The following is a 21,004-nucleotide window of genomic DNA, read 5'->3' as shown; positions in this document are numbered from 1 at the left end:
ACTGGTACCAAAACAGAGATATAGATCAATGGAACAGAACAGAGCCCTCAGAAATAACGCCGCATATCTACAACTATCTGATCTTTGACAAACATGACAAAAACAAGCAATGGGGAAAGGATTCACTATTTAATAAATGGTGCTGGGAAAACTGGCTAGACATATGTAGAAAGCTGAAACTGGATCCCCTCCTTACACCTTATACAAAAATTAATTCAAGATGGATTAAAGACTTAAATGTTAGACCTAAAACCATAAAAACCCTAGAAGAAAACCTAGGCAATACCATTCAGGACATAGGCATGCGCAAGGACTTCATGTCTAAAACACCAAAAGCAATGGCAACAAAAGCCAAAATTGACAAATGGGATCTAATTAAAGTAAAGAGCTTCTGCACAGCAAAAGAAACTATCATCAGAGCAAACAGGCAACCCATATAATGGGAGAAAATTTTCACGACCTATTCATCTGACAAAGGGCTAATATCCAGAATCTACAATGAACTCCAACAAATTTACAAGAAAAAAACAAACAACCCCATCGAAAAGTGGGTGAAGGATATGAACAGACACTTCTCAAAAGAAGACATTTATGCAGCCAAAAAACACATGAAAAAATGCTCACCATCGCTGGCCATCAGAGAAATGCAAATCAAAACCACAATGAGATACCATCTCACACCAGTTAGAATGGTGATCATTAAAAAGTCAGGAAACAACAGGTGCTGGAGAGGATGTGGAGAAATAGGAACACTTTTACACTGTTGGTGGGACTGTAAACTAGTTCAACCATTGTGGAAGTCAGTGTGGCGATTCCTCAGGGATCTAGAACTAGAAATACCATTTGACCCAGCCATCCCATTACTGGGTATATACCCAAAGGATTATAAATCATGATGCTATAAAGACACATGCACACGTATGTTTATAGTGGCACTATTCACAATAGCAAAGACTTGGAACCAACCTAAATGTCCAACAATGATAGACTGGATTAAGAAAATGTGGCACATATACACCATGGAATACTATGCAGCCATCAAAAATGATGAGTTCATGTCCTTTGTAGGGACATGGATGAAGCTGAAAACCATCATTCTCAGCAAACTGTCGCAAGGACAAAAAACCAAACACCGCATGTTCTCACTCATAGGTGGGAATTGAACAAGGAGAACACATGGACACAGGAAGGGGAACATCACACTCTGGGGACTGTTGTGGGGTGGGGGGAGGGGGGAGGGATAGCATTAGGAGATATACCTAATGCTAAATGACGAGTTAATGGGTGCAGCATAGCAGCATGGCACGTGTATACATATGTAACAAACCTGCACTTCGTGCACATGTACCCTAAAACTTAAAGCATAATAATAATAAAATTTAAAAACATAAAAAAATAAAGTAGATATTACAATAAAAAAAGAAAGAAATTGAAAAAATTTTTGAAACAAACGATAATGAAACACAATATGCCAAAACTTATGGGATACAGCAAAAGCACTTCTAAGAGGGAATTTTATAGCTATAAGTGCTTACATCAAAAAAATAAGAAAAAGTTAAAATAAAAAATTTAACAATGGATTTTAAAGAACTAGAAAAGCAAGAGCAAACCAAACCCAACATTAGTAGAAGTAAAAAATAATAAAGGTCAGAGCAGGAATAAATGAATTTGAAATTAAGAAAATAACAAAAGATGAATGACACATAAAGATGTTTTTTTGAAAAGTTAAGCAAAATTGACAAACCTCTAGCCAGACTAACAAAAAAAAAAAAAAAAAAAGAGAGAGAAGATCCAAATAAAATCAGAGATGAAAAAGGAGACATTACAACTGATACTGCAGAAATTCAAAGGGTCATTAGTGGCTACTAGGAGCAACTATATGCCAATAAATGGGAAAATCTATGAGAAATGGACAAATTCTTAGACACTTACAAACTACCAAGGTTGAACCATAAGGAAATTCAAAACCTAAACAGACCTCTGACAAGTGATGAGATTGAAGCCGTAATAAAAAGTCTCCCAGTAAAGAAAACCCTGGTCCTGATGACTTCACTACTGAATTTTACCAAATATTTAAAGAATAACTAATATCAATTCTACTCAAACTTTTCTGAAAAACAGAGTAGGAGGGAATACTTTGGAACTCATTCTACAAGGCCAGTATTACACTGACACCAAAAGCAGACAAAGACACATCAAAAACGAGAAAACTACAGGCCAATATCTCTAATGAATATTGATACAAAAACTTCAACAAGATACTAACAAACCAAATTCAACAGTACATTTAAAAGATTATTCATTGGCTGGGCACGGTGGCTCACGCCTGTAATCCCAGCACTTTGGGAGGCCAAGGTGGGCGGATCACGAGGTCAGGAGATCGAGACCATCCCGGCTAACACGGTGAAACCCCATCTCTACTAAAAATACAAAAAATTAGCCGGGGGTGGCGGCGGGTGCCTGTAGTCCCAGCTACTGGGGATGCTGAGGCAGGAGAATGGTGTGAACCCAGAAGGCGGAACTTGCAATGAGCCTAGATCATGCCACTGCACTCCAGTCTGGGTGACAGAGCGAGACTCCATCTCAAAGAAAAAAAAAAAAAAAAAAAAGACCAAGACCAAGTGGTATTTATTCCTACTCTGCAAGAATGGTTCAACATATGCAAATCAACCAATGTGATACATTATATCAACAGAATGAAGGAGTATAATCATATGATCATTTCAATTGATGTTGAAAAAGCATGTGATAAAATGTAGCATCCTTTCATGATAAAAACTGCCAGAAAATGGGATATAGAAGGAACATACCTCAACATAATAAAAGCCATATATGGCAGACCCACAAATAGTATCATATTGAAGGGGAAAAAATTTGAAAGGCTTTCCTCTATTATCTGAAACATGACAAGGATGCCTTTCACCGCCGTTATTCAACACAGTACTGAAAGTCCTAGCTGGAGCTATCAGATAAGAGAAAGATATAAAGGCCATCCAAATTAGAAACAAAGAAGTCAAATTTGCAAATTATATATTTAGAAAAACCTAAAGAAGCCACAAAATAATCTATTAAAACTGATTTAAAAAATTTAGTAAAGTTGCAGGATACAAAATCAACATACATAGAATTTCTATATGTTAACAGAAACTGAAACTGAAGAAACTGACAAATTAAAAAGTAGTCCCATTTACAATAACCACAAATAAAATTAAATATGTAGGAATTAACTAAAGAAGTTAAAGATCTCTATAATGAAACCTACAAAACACTGATTAAAGAAATTCAGGCTGGGACACCATAAAATACAAAGATATTCTATGTTCATGAATTGGAAGCATAAACATTGTTAAAATGTCCATACTACCCAGAGCAATCTACAGATTTAATGAAATGCCTATCAAAATACCAATGATATTCTTCACAGAAATAGAAAAAAAACTATGCTAAAATGTATATGGAACAACAAAAGATCCAGAATAACCAAAGTTATCCTAAGCAAAAGGACAAAACTGGAGGAATCACATTACCTGACTTCAAATTATACTACGGAGCTATTGTAACCAAAAACCAAAACAGCATAGTAATGGCATGAAAACAGGCACATAGACCAATGAAACAGAATACAGAACCCAGAAATAAATCCACACACCTACAGTGAACTCATTTTCGACAAAGTTGCCAAGAACATACATTGGGAAAAAGATTCTTCAATAAATAGTGCTGGGAAAACTGGATATCCATATGCAGAAGAAGGAAACTAGTCCCCTATCTCTTGTCATACACAAAAATCAAATCAAAGTGGATTAAAGACTTAAACCTAAGACCTCAAATTATGAAACTAACACAAGAAAACATTGGGGAAACTCTCCAGGCCATCAGTCTTGGCAAAGATTTCTTGAGTAATATCCAACAAACATAGGCAACCAAAGCAAAAATGGACAAATGGAATTGCATCAAGTTAGAAAGCTTCTGCACAGCAAAAGAAACAATCAACAAAGTAAAGATACAACCCACAGAATGAGAGAAAATATTAGCAAACTACTCATCTGACAAGGGATTAAAAACTAGAATATTTAAGAAAATCACCCCTACAGGAAAATATCTAAAAATCTGATTAAAAATGGAGAAAAGACTTGAATAGACATTTCTCAAAAGAAGACTTACAAATGGCAAACAGGCATATGAAAATGTGTTCAACATCACTGATCACCAGAGAAATGCAAATCAAAATTACTATGAGATATCATCTCATCTGAGATAAAATGGCTTATATCCAAAAAAAAAAAAAGGCAGTAACAAATACTGGCAAAGATGTGGAGAAAAGGGAATCCTCATACACTGTTGGTGGGAATGTAAATTAGTACAACCACTATGGAAAACAGTTTGGAGGCTCCTCCAAAAAGTAAAAGTAGAGCTACTATGTGATTCAGCAATCACACTGTTAGTTACACACCCATAAGAAAGGAAATCAGTATATCAAAAAGATATATGTACTCATGTTTGTTGCAGCTTTTGTCACAATAGCCGAGATTTGGAAGCAACACAAGTGTCCATCAACAGATGAATGGATAAGAAAAATGTGGTACTTATACATAATGGAATACTATTCAGCCATAAAAAAGAATGAGATTCAGTCATTTGCAACAACATAGACAGAACTGGAGGTCACTAAGTTAAGTGAAATAAGCAAGGCACAGACAGACAAACATCACATGTTGTCACTTATTTGTGGGGTCTAAAAATCAAAACAATTGAAACCATGGAGATAGAGAGTAGAAGGATGGTGATATGGTTTAGCTGTGTCCCCACCCAAACTTCATTTTGAATTGTAGTTCCCATAATCCCCAAGTGTCCTGGAAGAGACCCAGTGGGAGGGAGTTGAATCATGGGGGCAGTTATCCTCAGGCTGTTCTCATAATAGCGAATGAGTTCTCATGAGATCTGACGGTTTTATAAGGGGCTTTGCCCCCTTTTGCTCAGAATTTCTCCTTGCTGCCGCCATGTGAAGAAGGATGTTTGCTTCCCTTTCCACCACGATTGTGAGTTTCCTGAGGCCTCCCCAGCCATGCTGAACTGTGAGTCAATTAAACCTGTTTCCTTTATACATTACCCAGTCTCCGGTATGTCTTTATTAGCAGCATGAGAAAGGACTAATACAGTAAATTTTTACCTGGCAGTGGGGTGCTGCTATAAAGATATCTGAAAATATGGAAGCGACTTTGAAACTGGGTAATAGGCAGAGGTTGGAAAGTTTGGAGGGCCTAGAAGAAGATAGGAAAATGTGGGAAAGTTTGGAATTTCCTAGAGACTTGTTGAATGGCTTTGACCAAAATGCTGATAGTGATATGAACAATAAAGTCCAGGCTGAGGTGGTCACGGATGGAGATTAGGAACCTGTTGGGAACTGGAGCAAAGGTCACTCTTGCTATGCAAAGAGACTGGTGGCATTTTGCCCCTGCCCTAGAGATTGGTGGAACTTTAAACTTGAGAGAGACGATTTAGGGTATTTAGTGGAATAAATTTCTAAGCAGCAAAGCATTCAATAGGTGACAGAGTATAAAGTTAGGAAAATTTGCAGCCTGACAATGCAGTAGAAAAGAAAAATCCGTGTTCTGGGGAGAAATTCAAGCCTGCTGCAGACATTTACATATGTAACCAGGAGCCAAATGCTAATCACCAAGGCATGGGGAAAATGTTTCCAGGTCATGTCAGAGACCTTCTCAGCAGCCCCTCCCATCACAAGTCTGAAGGCTTAGGAGGGAAAAATGGTTTTGTGGCCAGGGCCCAGGGTCCCCCTACTGTGTCCAGCCTCAGGAAATGGTGTTCTGTGTCCCAGCTGCTTCACCTCCAGCCATGGCTAAAGGGACCAAGGTACAGCTTGGGCCATGGCTTCAGAGGCTGCAAGCCCCAAGCCTTGGCAGCTTTCACGTGATGTTGGTCCTGCTGGTACAAGAAGACAAGAATTAAGGTTTAAAACTTCCACGTAGATTTCAGAGGATGTATAGAAATGCCTGGATGTCCAGGCAAAGGTGTACTGCAGGGGCAGTGCCCTCATGGAGAACCTCTGCTAGTGCAGTGCCAAAGGGAAATGTGGGATTGGAGCCTCCACACAGAGTCCCCATTGGTACACTGCCTAGGGGAGCTGTGAGAAGAGGGCGAGGGCCATCATCCTCCAGATCCCAGAATGGAAGATCCAACCACAGCTTGCACAGTGCACATGGAAAAGCTGCAGACACTCAATGCCAGGCATGAAAGCAGCTGGGAGGGAAGCTGTACCCTGACAAGCTGCAAGGGTGGAGCTCCCCAAGACCATGGGAACCCACCTCTTGCATCAGCATGACCTGGATGTGAGACATGAAGTCAAAGAAAATCATTTTGGAGCTTTAAGATTTGACTGTCCTGCTGGATTCTGGACTTGCATGGGGCCTGTAGCTCCTTGATTTTGGCCAATTTCTCCCATTTGGAATGGCTGTATTTACCAAATGCCTGTACCCCCATTGTAGATAGGAAGTAACTAACTAGCTTTTGATTCTACAGGCTCATAGGTGGAACAGACTTGCCTTGTTTCAGATGAGACTTTGGACTTGAACTTTTAGGTTAATGCTGGAATGAGTTAACACTTTGGAGAACTGTTGGGAAGGCATGATTGTGTTTTGAAATGTGAGGACATGAGATTTGGGAGGGGCCAGGGGCTGAATGGTATGGATTGGCTGTGTCCCCACCCAAATCTTATTTTGAATTATAGTTCCCATAGTCCCCACATGTCATGGGAGGGACACAGGGGGAGGTAATTGAATCATGGGGTTGGTTACCTCCATGCTGCTGTTCTTGTGATAGTGAGTGAGTTCCCACAAGATTTCTTGGTTTTAGAAGGGGCTTTTCCCCCTTTGCTCAGCACTTCTTGCTGCTGCCACGTGAAGAAGGATGTGTTTGCTTCCCCTTCCGCCATGATTGTAAGTTTTCTGAGGCTTCCCCAGCCATGCTGAATTGTGAGTCAATTAAACCTCTTTCCTTTATACATTACCCAGTCTTGAGTATGTCCTTATTAGCATTGTGAGAACAGGCTAATACAGATGGTTACCAGAGGCTAGGAATGGCAGTGGGGGGGTGGGGGTTTAAGACATGAGGATGGTTAATCAATACAAAAAAATAGTTAGAGTAAATGAATAAGGCCTAGTATTTGATAGCACAATAGGGTAACTATAGTCGATAATAATTTAGTTTTACATTTAAAAATAACTAAAATAATATAATTAATTTTTTTATTATACTTTAAGTTCTGGGGTACATGTGCAGAATGTGCAGGTTTGTTACATAGGTATACACGTGCCATGGTGAATTGCTGCACCCATCAACCCATCATCTACATTTGGTATTTTTCCTAATGCTATCCCTCCCCTAGCCCCCCACCCCCCGACAGGCCCTGGTGTGTGATGTTCCCCTCCCTGTGTCCATGTGTTCTCATTGTTCAACTCCCACTTATGAGTGAGAACATGCGGTGTTTGGTTTTCTGTTCCTGTGTTAGTTTGCTGAGAATGATGGTTTCCAGATTCATCCATTTCCCCGCAAAGGACATGAACTCATCCTTTTTTATTGCTGCATAGTATTCCATGGTGTATATGTGCCACATTTTCTTTATCCAGTCTATTATTGATGGACATTTTGGTTGGTTCCAAGTCCTTGCTATTGTGAACAGTGCTGCAATAAACATACGTGTGCATGTGTCTTTATAGTAGAATAATTTATAATCCTTTGGGTATATACCCAGTAATGGGATTGCTGGGTCAAATGGTATTTCTCATTCTAGATCCTTGAGGAATCACCACACTGTCTTCCACAATAGTTGAGCTAATTTACACTCCCACCAACAGAGTAAAATTGTTCCTATTTCCCCACATCCTCTCAAGCATCTGTTGTTTCCTGGCTTTTTAATGATCATCATTCTAACTGGCATGAGATGGTATCTAATTGTGGTTTTGAACTGAATTTCTCTAATGACCAGTGAGGATGAGCTTTTTTTTATATGTTTGTTGGCTGCATAAGTGTCTTCTTTTGAGAAGTGCCTATTGATATCCTTTGTCCAAAAAGGATATGGGGTTGATGGGGTTGTTTGTATTTTTCTTGTAAATTTGTTTAAGTTCTTTGTAGATTCTGGATATCAGTCCTTTGTCCGATGGATAGACTGCAATATTTTTCCCATTCTGTATGTTGCCTGTTCACTCCGATGATAGTTTCTTTTGCTGTGCAGAAGCTCTTTAGTTTAATTAGATCCCATTTGTCAATTTTGGCTTTTGTTGCCATTGCTTTTGTTGTTTTAGTGATCAAGTCTTTGCCCGTGCCTATGTCCTGAATGGTATTGCCTAGGTTTTCTTCTAGGGTTTTTATGGTTTTAGGTCTTATGTTTAAGTCTTTACTCCACCTTGAGTATGTTGAACCACCCTTGCATCCCAGGGGTGAAGCTGACTTGATCATGGTGGATAAGATTTTGGATGTGCTGCTGGATTTGGTTTGCCAGTATTTTACTGAGGATTTTTTCATCAATGTTCATTAGGGATATTGGCCTGAAATTTTCTTTTTCTGTCATGTCTCTGCCAGGTTTTCATATCAGGGTGATGCTGGCCTTATAAAATGATTTAGGGAGGAGTCCCTCTTTTTCTATTGTTTGGAATAATTTCAGAAGGAATGGTACCAACTCCTCTTTGTACCTGTGGTAGAATTTGGCTGTGAATCCATCTGGTCCTGGGCTTTTTTTGGTTGGTAGGCTAGTAATGACTGCCTCAATTCCAGAACTTGTTATTGGTCTATTCAGGAATTCAACTTCTTCCCGGTTTAGTCTTGGGAGGGTGTATATGTCCAGGAATTTATCCATTTCTTCTAGATTTTCTAGTTTATTTGCATAGAGGTGTTTATAGTATTCGCTGATGGTAGTTTGTATTTCTGTAGGATCAGTGGTGTTTATTGTGTCTATTTGATTCTTCTCTCTTTCCTTCTTAATCTGGTTAGCAGTCTATCCATTTTGTTAATCTTTTCAAACAACCAGCTCCTGGATTTATTGATTTTTTGAAGGGCTTTTTGTGTCTCTATCTCCTTTAGTTCTTCTCTGATCTTAGTTATTTCTTGTCTTCTGCTAGATTTTGAATTTGTTTGTTCTTGCTTCTCTAGTTTTTGTTTTGTGTTGTTTTTTTTAAGACGGAGTCTCTCACTGTCGCCCAGGCTGGAATACAGTGGCACAATCATGGCTCACTGCAAGTTCTGCCTCCCAGGTTCATGCCTTTCTCCTGTCTCAGCCTCCTGAGTAGCTGGGACTACAGGCACCCACCACCACGCTGGGCTGATTTTTTGTATTTTTAGTAGAGATGCGGTTTCACCATGTTAGCCAGGATGGTCTCGATCTCTTGACCTAGTGATCCACCTGCCTTGGCCTCCCAAAGTGTTGGGATTACAGGTGTGAGCCACCATGCCCGGCCTCTAGTTCTTTTAATTGTGATGTTAGGGTATCAATTTTAGATCTTCCCCACTTTCTCCTGTGGGTATTTAGTGCTATAAATTTCCCTCTAAACACTGCTTTAGCTGTGTCCCAGAGATTCTGGTATGTTGTGTCTTTGGTCTCATTGATTTCAAAGAACTTATTTATTTTTGCTTTAATGTTGTTATTTACCCAGTAGTCATTCAGGAGCAGGTTGTTGACTTTCCATGTAGTTGTGTGGTTTTGAGTGCATTTCTTAATCCTGAATTCTAATTTGATTGCCCTGTGGTCTGAGAGGCTATTTGTTATGATTTCTGTTCTTTTGCATTTGCTGAGGAGTGTTTTACTTCCAATTATGTGGTCAATTTTAGAATAAGTGTGATGTGGTGCTGAGAAGAATGTATATTCTGTTGAACTGGGGTAGAGATTTCTGTAGAAGTCTATTAGGTCTGCTTGGTCCAGAGCTGAGTTCAACTCCTGAATATGCTTGTTAATTTTCTGTCTCGTTGATCAGGCTAATATTGACAGTGGGGTGTTAAAGTCTCCCACTATTATTGTGTGGGATTCTAAGTCTCTTTGTAGGTCTCTAAGGACTTGCTTTATGAATCTGGCTTCTCCTGTTTTGGATGCATATATATTTAGGATAGTTAGCTCTTCTTGTTGCATTGACCCCTTTACCATTATATAATGCCCTTCTTTGTCTCTTTTTATCTTTGTTTGTTTAAAGTCTGTTTTTTCAGAGACTAGGATTGCAATCCCTGCTTTTTTTTTTTTTTCCTTTTGAGATGGAGTCTTGCTCTGTCACCCAGGCTGGAGTGCAGTGGCACAATCTTGGCTCACTGCAAGCTCCACCTCCCAGGTTCATGCCATTCTCCTGCCTCAGCCTCTTGAGTAGCTGGGACTACAGGCGCCTGCCACCATGCCCGGCTAATTTTTTTGTATTTTTAGTAGAGACAGGGTTTCATTGTCTTAGCCAGGATGGTCTCGATCTCCTAACCTCGTCATCTGCCCGCCTCGGCCTCCCAAAGTGCTGGGATTACAGGCATGAGCCACAGCACCCAGCCCAATCCCTGCTTTTTTGCTTTCCATTTGCTTGGTAAATATTCCTCCATCAGTCTATTTTGAACCTATTTGTGTTTTTGCACATCAGATGGGTCTCCTGAATACAGGACTCTAATGGGTCTTGACTCTGTATCCAATTTGCCAGTCTGTGTCTTTTAATTGGTGCATTTAGCCCATTTACATTTAAGGTTAATATTGTTATGTGTGAATTTGATCCTGTCATTATGATGCTAGCTGGTTGTTTTGCCTGTTAGTTGATGCAGTTTCTTCATAGTGTCGGCGGGCGTTCTTTACAATTTGCAGTGGCTGGTACCAGTTGTTCCTTTCCATGTTTAGTGCTTCCTTCAGGAGCTTTTGTAACAGAGGCCTGGTGGTGACAAAATCTCTCAGCATTTGCTTGTCTGTAAAGGATTTTATTTCTCCTTCACTTATGAAGCTTAGTTTGGCTGGATATAAAATTCTGGGTTGAGAAATTCTGTTCTTTAAGAATGTTGAATATTGGCCGCCACTCTCCTCTGCCTTGTAGAGTTTCTGCAGAGAGACCCGCTGTTGGTCTGATGGGCTTCCTTTTGTTGGTTACCCAACCTTTCTCTCTGGCTGCCCTTAACATTTTTTCCTTCATTTCAACCTTGGTGGATCTGATGATATGTGTCTTGGGATTGCTCTTCTCAAGGAGTACCTTTGTGCTGTTCTCTGTATTGCCTGAATTTGAATGTTGGTCTGTCTTGCTAGGTTGGGGAAGTTCTCCTGGATTATATCCTGAAGCGTGTTTTCCAACTTGGTTCCATTCTCCCTGTCACTTTCAGGTATACCAGTCAAACGTAGGTTTGGTCTTTTCACATAGTCTCATATTTCTTGAGGGCTTTGTTCAGTCCTTTTTCTCTAATCTTGTTTTCACGCTTTATTTCATTAAGTTGGTCTTCAATCTCTGATATACTTCCTTCCACTTGATCAATTTGGGTATTGATACCTGTGTATGCTTCATGAAGTTCTCATGCTGTGTTTTTGAGCTCCATCAGGTCATTTATGTTCTTCTCTAAACTGGTTATTCCAGTTTGCAATTCATCTAACCTTTTTTCAAGGTTCTTAGCTTCCTTGCATTGGGTTAGAACATGCCCCTTTAGCTCAGAGGAGTTTGTTATTACCCATCTTCTGAAGCCTACTTCTGTCAATTCATCAAACTCATTCTGTGTCCAGTTTTGTTCCACTGCTGGTGAGCAGTTGTGATCCTTTGGAAGAGAAGAGGAATTCTGGATTTTGGAATTTTCAGCCTTTCTGCACTGTTTTTTCCTCATCTTCATGGATTTATCTACCTTTGGTCTTTCATGTTGGTAACTTTCAGATGGGGTTTTTGTGTGGATGTCCTTTTTGTTGATGTTGATGCTATTCCTTTATGTTTGTTAATTTTCCTTGTAACAGTCAGACCTCTCTGCTGCAGATCTGCTGGAGTTTGCTAGACATCCACTCCAGACCCTATTTGCCTGTGTATCACTAGCGGAGGCTGCAAAACAGCAAAGATTGCTGCCTCTTCCTTCCTCTGGAAGCTTCTTCCCAGAGGGGCACCCGCCAGATGCCAGCCAGAGCTCTCCTATATGAAATGTCTGTTGGCCCCTGCTGAGAGGTGTCTCCCAGTCAGGAGGCAAGGGGGTCAAGGACCCACTTGAGGAGGCAGTCTGTTCCTTAGCAGAGCTCAAACACTGTGCTGGGAGATCTGCTGCTGTTTTCAGAGCCAGCAGGCAGGAACTTTTAAGTTTGCTGAAGCTGTGCCCACAGTTACCCTTTCCCCCAGGTGCTCTGTCCCAGGGAGATGGGAGTTTTATCTATAAGCCCCTGACTGGGGCTGCTGCCTTTCTCTCAGAGATGCCCTGCCCAGAGAGGAGGAATCTAGAGAGGCAGTCTGGCTACAGCAGCTTTGCCGAGCTGCGGTGGGCTCCCCCCAGTTCAAACTTCCCAGCAGGTCTGTTTACACTGTAAGGGAAAAACCGCCTACTCAAGCCTCAGTAATGTATGAGGCCTTTCCCCCCACCAAGCTCGAGCATCCTAGATCAACTTCAGACTGCTGTGCTTGTAGGGAGAATTTCAAACCAGTAGATCTTATCCTGCTGGGCTCCATGGGCATGGGATCTGCTGAGATATACCACTTGGCTCCCTGGCTTCAGCCCCCTTTCCAGAGGAATGAACAGTTCTGTCTTGCTGGCATTCCAGGCACCACTGGGGTATAAAGAAAAAAAACTCCTGCAGCTAGCTCAGTGTCTGCCCAAATGGATGCCCAGTTATGTGCTTGAAACCCAAGGCCCTGGTGGTGTAGGCACCCAAGGGAATCTCCTGGTCTGTGGGTTGCAAAGACCATGGGTAAAGCATAGTATCTGGGCTGAATGTACCATCCCTCATGGCACAGTCCCTCACAGCTTCCTTTAGCTAGAGGATGGAGTTTCTGGACCCCTTGTGCTTCTTGGGTGAGGTGATGCCCCACGCTGCTTTGGCTCACCCTCTGTGGGCTGCATCCGCTGTCTAACCAGTCCCAGGGAGATGAGCTAGGTACCTCAGATGGAAATGCAGAAATAACCCACCTTCTGCATTGATCTCACTGGCAGCTGCAGACCAGAGCTGTTTCTATTCTGCCATCTTGCCCACCACTCAATGTGATTGTTTATAACACAAAAGATAAATGCTTAAAAGGATGGATACCCCATCTTCCATTATGTGATTGTTAGGCATTGCATGCCTGTATCAAAACATGTACCTTGCTAATAAATGTGCCTACTATGTACCCACAAAAATTTTAAATTAAAATAAACTCATATGTCCCATAAATATATATACCTTCTATGTACCCATAAGTAAAAAATGAAACATGAATAAAATAAATGAATAAAATAAAATGCCATGCAAATTTTTGCTGTTTTTTGTTTTTAGCCAGTTTGATCCCTTTAGGGAGCTTTTTAAAAAGAGATATGAGTATGATGATAGGAGATGAGAGAGTGGACCAGGCTTACAAGTTTGCTTATTGAGGGTCTACTCTCCCCTTGTAAAAACTCTCTTTCTTCTTGCTGCTAATCCCGTTTAAATGCAACATCATGTAGAACAGACCAGACTTTAAATCAGCATTAATTAACACATTAGGCCATGTGCCAACCCCTCAAGTGAGGTCTGGCCCGTGACCAGGTGAGGGCAGGAGTGATGGGACAGAGGGCAGAGGCCATGGCAGGTGGTGAGTGCCCTGGAAGAGGAGACCAGGAGGGCACAAGAATTGACCTCCTCTACCGTGAAATTCTCCTTGAACTCTTTTTTTTTCTATTTATTTTATTGTGTAAAATTTGTACATCCAAAGGTAGTCATGAGATGGAATTCTGTGGAGAAGTTTATAAAATACAGATTATTCATTATCCTGGAGGGTAGATTCTGAACTAAAGAGCTTTCTTTCAGTCCTGTGATCTCAAGGTTTTGCTTTTAAAGAACTGAGTTTGAATTCCTTATTGAGTTTGATTGAAATGTGCCTTGGTCTCAGCCATTGCACCTCCCCAGCCCTCTTAACAACCATGAAGGAAGAAATGTAGAAAACTGTATAAATAGTGCTATACCCCAGATGTCCTTAAGCCTAGCCAGTCTATGGATGCCAGTGGGGAGAGGGGTCCCCCGTTACAGCAATAACTCAAATTTCCTGTTTAACTGTATTATTTTTTCACATGTTCCACCACCTGTTTCACCTGGCATGTTTGGTCTGCTCAGCCAAATCCACCTGTGACTTTTGAAGGACTTTTGAGAACAGCCAAATCACCCACTAGTGGTACCAAAATCTGTATTAGTCAGAGTTCTCCAGAGGGACAGAACTATTATAGGATATATGTATATATGAGAGGGAGTTTATTAAGGAGAATTGACACACACAGTCTCAAGATAAAGTCCCATGATAGGCTGTCCGCAAGCTGAGGAGCAAAGAAGCCAGCAGTGGTTCAGTATGAGTCTTAAAGCCTCAAAAGTAGGGATACTGACAGTGTGGCCTTCAGTCTGTGGCTGAAGGCCCAAGAGCCCCTGACAAATCATTGGTGTAAGTCAAAGAGCCCAAAGGCCCAAGAACTTGGAGTCCAGTGATCAAGGACAGGAAGCATCCAGCACAACAGAAAGATAGAAGACTAAGCAAGCCAACTTCATCAGTGTTCTCCCACACATCCAAGTTGCAGGGTTCCATTCTTTTCCAATCAATGCCCTCACTTTAACAGCAGACACTTGGCGAGTCTGTGTGTGCGCCTTCCATTGTAGGTCCCAGCCATTCACATCATAAGGCTTATGTTTGATTTTCTGCAATTTCAGCCCTTTGTCTACAGGGGGTAAGACTCTCACTCAGGGCAATCTTAGAAGACTTGCGCCTAAATATGTGCTTCTGGAGGCAGGAGTTGGAATCCCTGAGTTTATCCTTTTTTCTTTCATCACTTTGTTATGCAAGCTTAGGAGCAACCAACCAACCAACTTCATTACATTCCTTGTTTCTCCACATACAGTCAAAAGTATTATGTATAGGGTCACTGAACTCCTTGTTTCTCAAGAGGAGTGAATCAGGAGTATCAAATGCATTTATTTTGCATAACTGTTCATGCCAAGGACTATCAGTGTTCTCCATACTATTAGAAGTACAGTCCTTAGCACTCTTGTCTCTAATCAGATTAAGCAGCCAACTCCAGAAACCCCAAAACCGACTAAAGAGATCCATCCTTAAAATTCTGTTCCTCTAGTACCACTCCTGGTACCAACTTTCTGTATTAGTCTGTTTTCACACTGCTGTAAAGAACTGCCTGAGACTGGGTAATTTATAAAGGAAAGAGGCTTAATTGACTCACAGTTCTGCATGGCTTGGTGGGCCACAGGAAACTTGCAATCATAGTGGAAGGGGAAGCAGTCACCTTCTTCACAACACAGCAGGAGAGAGAAAGCGTGTGAAGGAGGAACTGTCAAACACTTATAAAACTATCAGATATCATCATCAGATAGTGAGTGAAAACTTGCTCACTATCATGAGAACAGCATGGGGGAAACTGCCCCCCTGATCTAGTCACCTCCCACCAGGTCCCTCCCTAGACACATGGAGATTACAATTCGAGATGAGATTTGGGTAGGGACACAGAACCAAACCATATTACCTTCACATCTTGTCCATGTCCTTATCAAGCCAGGTAGCAAAAGTGATTTTAAAGGTAAGAAGAAGAACTATGACACAAACCCGGAGCAGTTTTATTATAATGATTGATTTAAATCCATGTATAAAACTTGTTCTTGTATTAACCTTGCTCACATTGATTTGGGGAATTATTTAAGAGGCTTCTTCTCATTTCTAAGGCATTTCAGTTTGGTATATTTCCTAGATGTTGTCATCACATCTTCCTTTCAAAGTGCTTCATGTGTGTATTTTGTCTTCCCCATTGTGGGGGTAGGGTACAGGGGTCGCTGAAAACAGAGACAGTTTTGTACTTCTTTTGTTATCTTTTAAGGGATCTCGGTGCAGTGCTCTGAGTCAAATGACTCTGTTGCAGGTGTTCAACTGTGTAGATTAGCTGAGTGATGAGTATGTCTGGACATCTGTGCAAATTTGGATATAGCATTAGGATAGTAGAACTTACTCCCTGTGAGACTGGAGCAAGAAACTAAGAGGGGAGTGGCTGGGGTCTCGACTTACTGGCTTCATGAACTTAGATAAGTCACTTTACTTCTCTTGCCTCACCTTTTCAACTTATATGGCAGAGCTAATAGTCTAGAATACAAGCCCAGAGTACAGCATTGTTGAGGGGCTCAACTAGGTTAAATGGCTACATGTTTTACAAACCTAAAATGACTGGATGAACCCGGGCCTTGTATACAGTGGGCGCTCAGCAAACATTGGTAGCGAGGCCATTGGCTCTCCCTGCTAGCAGGAGCTCAAAGCAGGGATGTGCCAGAAACAGAATCCAAACTTTCCATAATACAGGCTGACTTTGCTTTTGAAGTCCTTCCTCTGAGGGTGGAATTTGTGATAGGAAACTGGTTTGCTTGGAGTGGCGAGGGTGGTGTGGGGTGGGGTGCAGATGATCTGCTACTTTTGTTTCCATTTTGGATTTCCAGGTTTCTGTGAGTTTCTCTCATCTTGTTTCCTGTTTTTCCTAAAAGCCTGAGTATATAAATATCTTTTTTCCTGCAGGTGTTTCTAACTTCTTTTTCCTTCCGGACAGTCTCAGTAATTATTGCCTTTCATGTGGGTTCTATGACCGAGGTGAGTGATGTAATAACAGAAAAGATTCCCATAGCAAGTGATAGCTATGTGAATGCTGGTGTGAGGTGTTTTTGCTTGGAATGAAGATGCAGATCTGAAAAACTATATAATTTATATAGATAGATAGATAGATAGATAGATAGATAGATAGATAGATTTTTTTTTTTTTTTTTTTTGAGACAGTGTCTCATTCTGTTGCCCAGGCTGGAGTGCAGTGGCGAGATCTCAGCTCACTGAAGTCTCCAACTCCTAGATTCAAGTGATTTTTGTGCCTCAGCCTTCTGAGTAGCTGGGACTACAGGCATGTGCCACCATGCCTGGCTAATTTTTGTACTTTTAGTAGAGACAGGGTTTCACCATGTTAGCCAGGCTGGTCTCGAACTCCTGACTTCAAGTGATCTACCTGCCTCGGCCTTCCAAGGTGCTGGGATTACAGGCATGAGACTGCACTCAGCCAGATTTTTAAAAACTCAGTTAAACTGTATAAAACTGATTTACTAAAGCATATTAAAACATGCGTTTTTCACTAAACTGATGCCAATAAACTATAAGTGAATCATCAAACATCACCACTGTACAACGGAGACAGCCCATTATAACATTACTTAAAACAGTCTCTATATAACTTATGTATCTATACACACATATATACATTACTTTCTTCAAGTTTTAGTGTTTCTTAATAAAATCTTATATTTTAAAAACTTTCTGTTTTTAACTTTTTACATACTTCCTGCTTCGAATCCATCCATGGATGATAACCATGCCATTTAGGCTATCTTATTTTGATGTCCATGGGTTTCATATTACATCATTATTTCTTCCTTAGCAAGAATTATTGCTGCTTGAGGAGGTGGTGGCTTAGCCTCAGTGTCACTGCTATCTTCCCAAGCCACTGGAATGACTGCTGCTGTCTAGGTCTCCCTGGGGACTACTCTGAGATGGAAAATTCTCAGCCCCGACTGGAATTTGGCCACAGAGGGGAAAAACAAAAGAAATGCAGTTTTCCAAAATCAAGTTGACTAAGACTCCTTCTATCATTACATATAATCTCCCTGCCTCCCAAAGACTAACTCTTGGCACACTTCTTTGTGTGAAGAGGAATTATAACAGACACCCCTGCTATGTTGGAGCTTAAGTACACAGCTCAACACAGGTAGGAAGGCAGGTGACTTGAACTTTAAAAAAAATAAATTTTGCACATGAAAGCTTTTCAGCAATTTTTAAAAGATGTTTTCTGGCTTATTGTATACATCTTTTCCATTTAGAATGGAGTTTGCTCAAATCAATAATAACCATATGTTTACCATTTATTTTAACTTTAGTCTACACTTATATTTGACAGTTTTCTAGATCATGCATAACTCTAACTAGAGACTATTCAAGAAAAATGTCCATAGTAATTTAACAAGTATTGATATTACCTAGGATATCATTTTTGGCAAACCGTTGGTTAAAACTAGAGTAAATACAGCCATCTTGGTCTTTTGACCAAGTTAAGTATTCTTTAAATTTGCCCAAGTTTTGTTTTGTTTTCTTTACCACTTATAGAAGGGAAACTTGCTAGATATAAAAGTTGCTTGTTTATAATTATTCTACCAGTTCTTATAGAGAAGCTGAGGATTCATATGTCATTAAACATTTTCAATTATAAGGAAATCTATGAAAGTCAATACATAGAATACAATGGCCAATAGGAGTCATGATATTTTGGACATGTCATTCTTCTTAAGGAAAACCTAAATGTCCATAAAGAAACATCCCAAAGCAGCACTGTGTTGGCATTTGTGGATTAGGTGCTATGGAATTCATCCTACTTCCTGCTCCAGTCTCTTCTTCACAAATAGTTTTTAACAATGTTAAGTCAAATGATGTCATTTCTTGGATGTAAAGCCTGCAGTACTTTTCTATCTCAGAATTAAATCCAAAGTCCTCACCTAGGCTTAACAGTAAGATTATCATATAATTCATCATACAAATGGGATTCCTCTGAAAATGAAAAGAGCCTTAGGAGCAATCACTCCAGGGCAACAGGTGTAAACCAGAGTTGTTCCCAAGCAAACCAGGACCTAGAGGCACCTGCCTAGATGGCCCTAGATGAACTAGTATTCCCCTCCCGTCATATCTCATGTTCTACCACTATGTCCTTCTCTCTGTCCTCAATTAGCTCCAGCCACAACAACTTACTGGATGCTTTTCAAATGTAACAAACATGCCTCAGTTGCCTGGAATGTTCTTCCCCAAGATACCTGTGCAGGTCTTGCCATTTTCACTTAATCCAGGGTTTCTACTCAAATCCCATTTGTTAAAGAGACTTTTTCTGATGCCCTCCTAAAATTGCATCCCTCTTCCTCTGTTCACCCTCTCCACCTTACTCTGCCTGATTTTTCTTCATAATACTTATTACATCCTGACATAAAATATATGTACATTTTTATTGTTTATATTCTTCCTTTTTTGTGTGTGTGTGAGATAAGGTCTCATCTGTCACCCAGACTAGAGTGCAGTGCCATGATCCTGACTCACCACAGCCTTGACCTTCTGGACTCAAGCAATCCTCCTCCACCAGACTATGGAGTAGCTGGGACTACAGGCATGCACCACCATGCCCCACTAATTTTTAATTTTTTTTTTTGGTAGAAATGGGGATCTCATTATGTAGCCCAGGCTGGTCTGAAACTCCTGGCCTCAAGCATCTGTCCTGCCTTGGCCTCCCAAGGGGTTGTGATTACATGCGTGAGCCACTGTACCTGGTCTTTCTTTTCTAACTGGATATGTCTCCCTCACAGAAGGCAAGCTCCATCTGTAGATGAACTTTGTTTTGTTTATTACTGCGTGCCTGGCATCTAGAATGGTGCCTGGCACTGAGTACATATTTAATCATACTTGATAAGTGAACAAATGAGTGCATGCATGAAAGAATAAGTTGCTGTTTAAAATTGGAGGCATCTTTAAAGGGAAAGAGCAACTTCCATTTACTTTTGGATGGCAGTTAAGTGAGAATGCTTGTATTCTAAGAAATAAGTGAGAAGTACCAGGAGGAGCATTACATGATATAAAGAATGAGTTGGGGAAAATTCTGGCTAATGTGAATGATGAAGGTATTCTAGAAATGATAACTCACTGAAATATTTTTACATCTGATTGCAGTAAAATAACTTACTCCCTGGTAATGCATATTTTATGTCTTTATAACATGTTGAATCCACTCAGATTGCCTACCTTGTGTTTTAATTCAACTTAATTTTAAAAACTCATTTCAAATTTTGTGGCAGCCACTAGATTTAGGAAATCCCTTAACAGATGATGTTGTCGTCTTTTGAAGAATAATATATACCTATCAGACCATCATCTATGTGCCAGGCATTATCTTTAGTGTTTTTAAGTACTATTTCATTTAATCTTCCCAACTTATTATATGGTGTAGGCATTCCCATTATCCCCAGTTTATAATGAGGAAACTGAAACATGGAGAGATTAAGGCAGTCTGACTTCAGAGTCCATCAACTTTGTCATATTGTGCAATTTGTTTGCTTTTTATTGTTGTTGCAATCACTATTCGTTTATTATTCCCATTAATTTCTGTATTCCAATAGAAATATTTTAATAGAATTCCCTGATTTCCCTGGCAAATTCTAAATGTAACCTTTTGTGATTCAGTCTACTTAAACCACTACCAGTTGTTTTTCTCTTAACTTTTATGACAGCGTGTTTTTATTTTGGTTATTTATTTCACTGTTTATGGTCTATCTTTTCTTACTGAAATGTCAGCTTCTTGAGGGTAGGAATTTTTTCATTTTACTCACTGCTATATTACGAATGCAAAGTGTCTGGTATGTAGCAAATGCTCAGTAACTGTTGGCTTCATGAATAAATACTGAATGAATGAGTTATATTAATTAGTTGTATCCTTTTACTATATGACTCATGTGATTCAGTCGACCAATGTTTATAAGCACCAATTCCATGCCTAGCACCATGTTCCACATATGGACTTAACAAATGCCAAGTCTTCTTCCAAGCACTTTATGTAAAGCAACTCTTAATCTCTATGGTAACTCTATGAGGTTATCTGCAAAGGTCCAAAAAATGTTAGGACATGGCTCCTTTCCAGAAGGAGCTTAAAATAGAGTTGAGAAATAATAATAATGAAAGTAAAATAATGAGAAAATGATATAAGCTTATAATACAAGTATATTAAGTCATTCTCACATTGCTATAAAGAAATACCTGAGACT

At 40.1% G+C, this 21,004-nt stretch overlaps 1 annotated feature.

Moving 5' to 3' along the window:
* Positions 5,845-6,014: an enhancer, noted in NCBI's record as "experimental_56698 CRE fragment used in MPRA reporter constructs". NCBI's record gives its function as "activates a minimal promoter by MPRAs in K562 erythroleukemia cells, with activity observed for both the introgressed and non-introgressed 2:179947564 variant alleles {active_cell/tissue: K562}" and the evidence as "EXISTENCE:reporter gene assay evidence [ECO:0000049][PMID:34662402]".

The sequence above is a fragment of the Homo sapiens genome, chromosome 2 (genome assembly GCF_000001405.40).
Source record: "Homo sapiens chromosome 2, GRCh38.p14 Primary Assembly".
NCBI classification, from domain to species: Eukaryota; Metazoa; Chordata; class Mammalia; order Primates; family Hominidae; genus Homo; species Homo sapiens.
The sequence above is the reverse complement of the archived record's forward strand: the minus strand, read 5'-3'. Positions and strand labels throughout refer to the sequence as shown.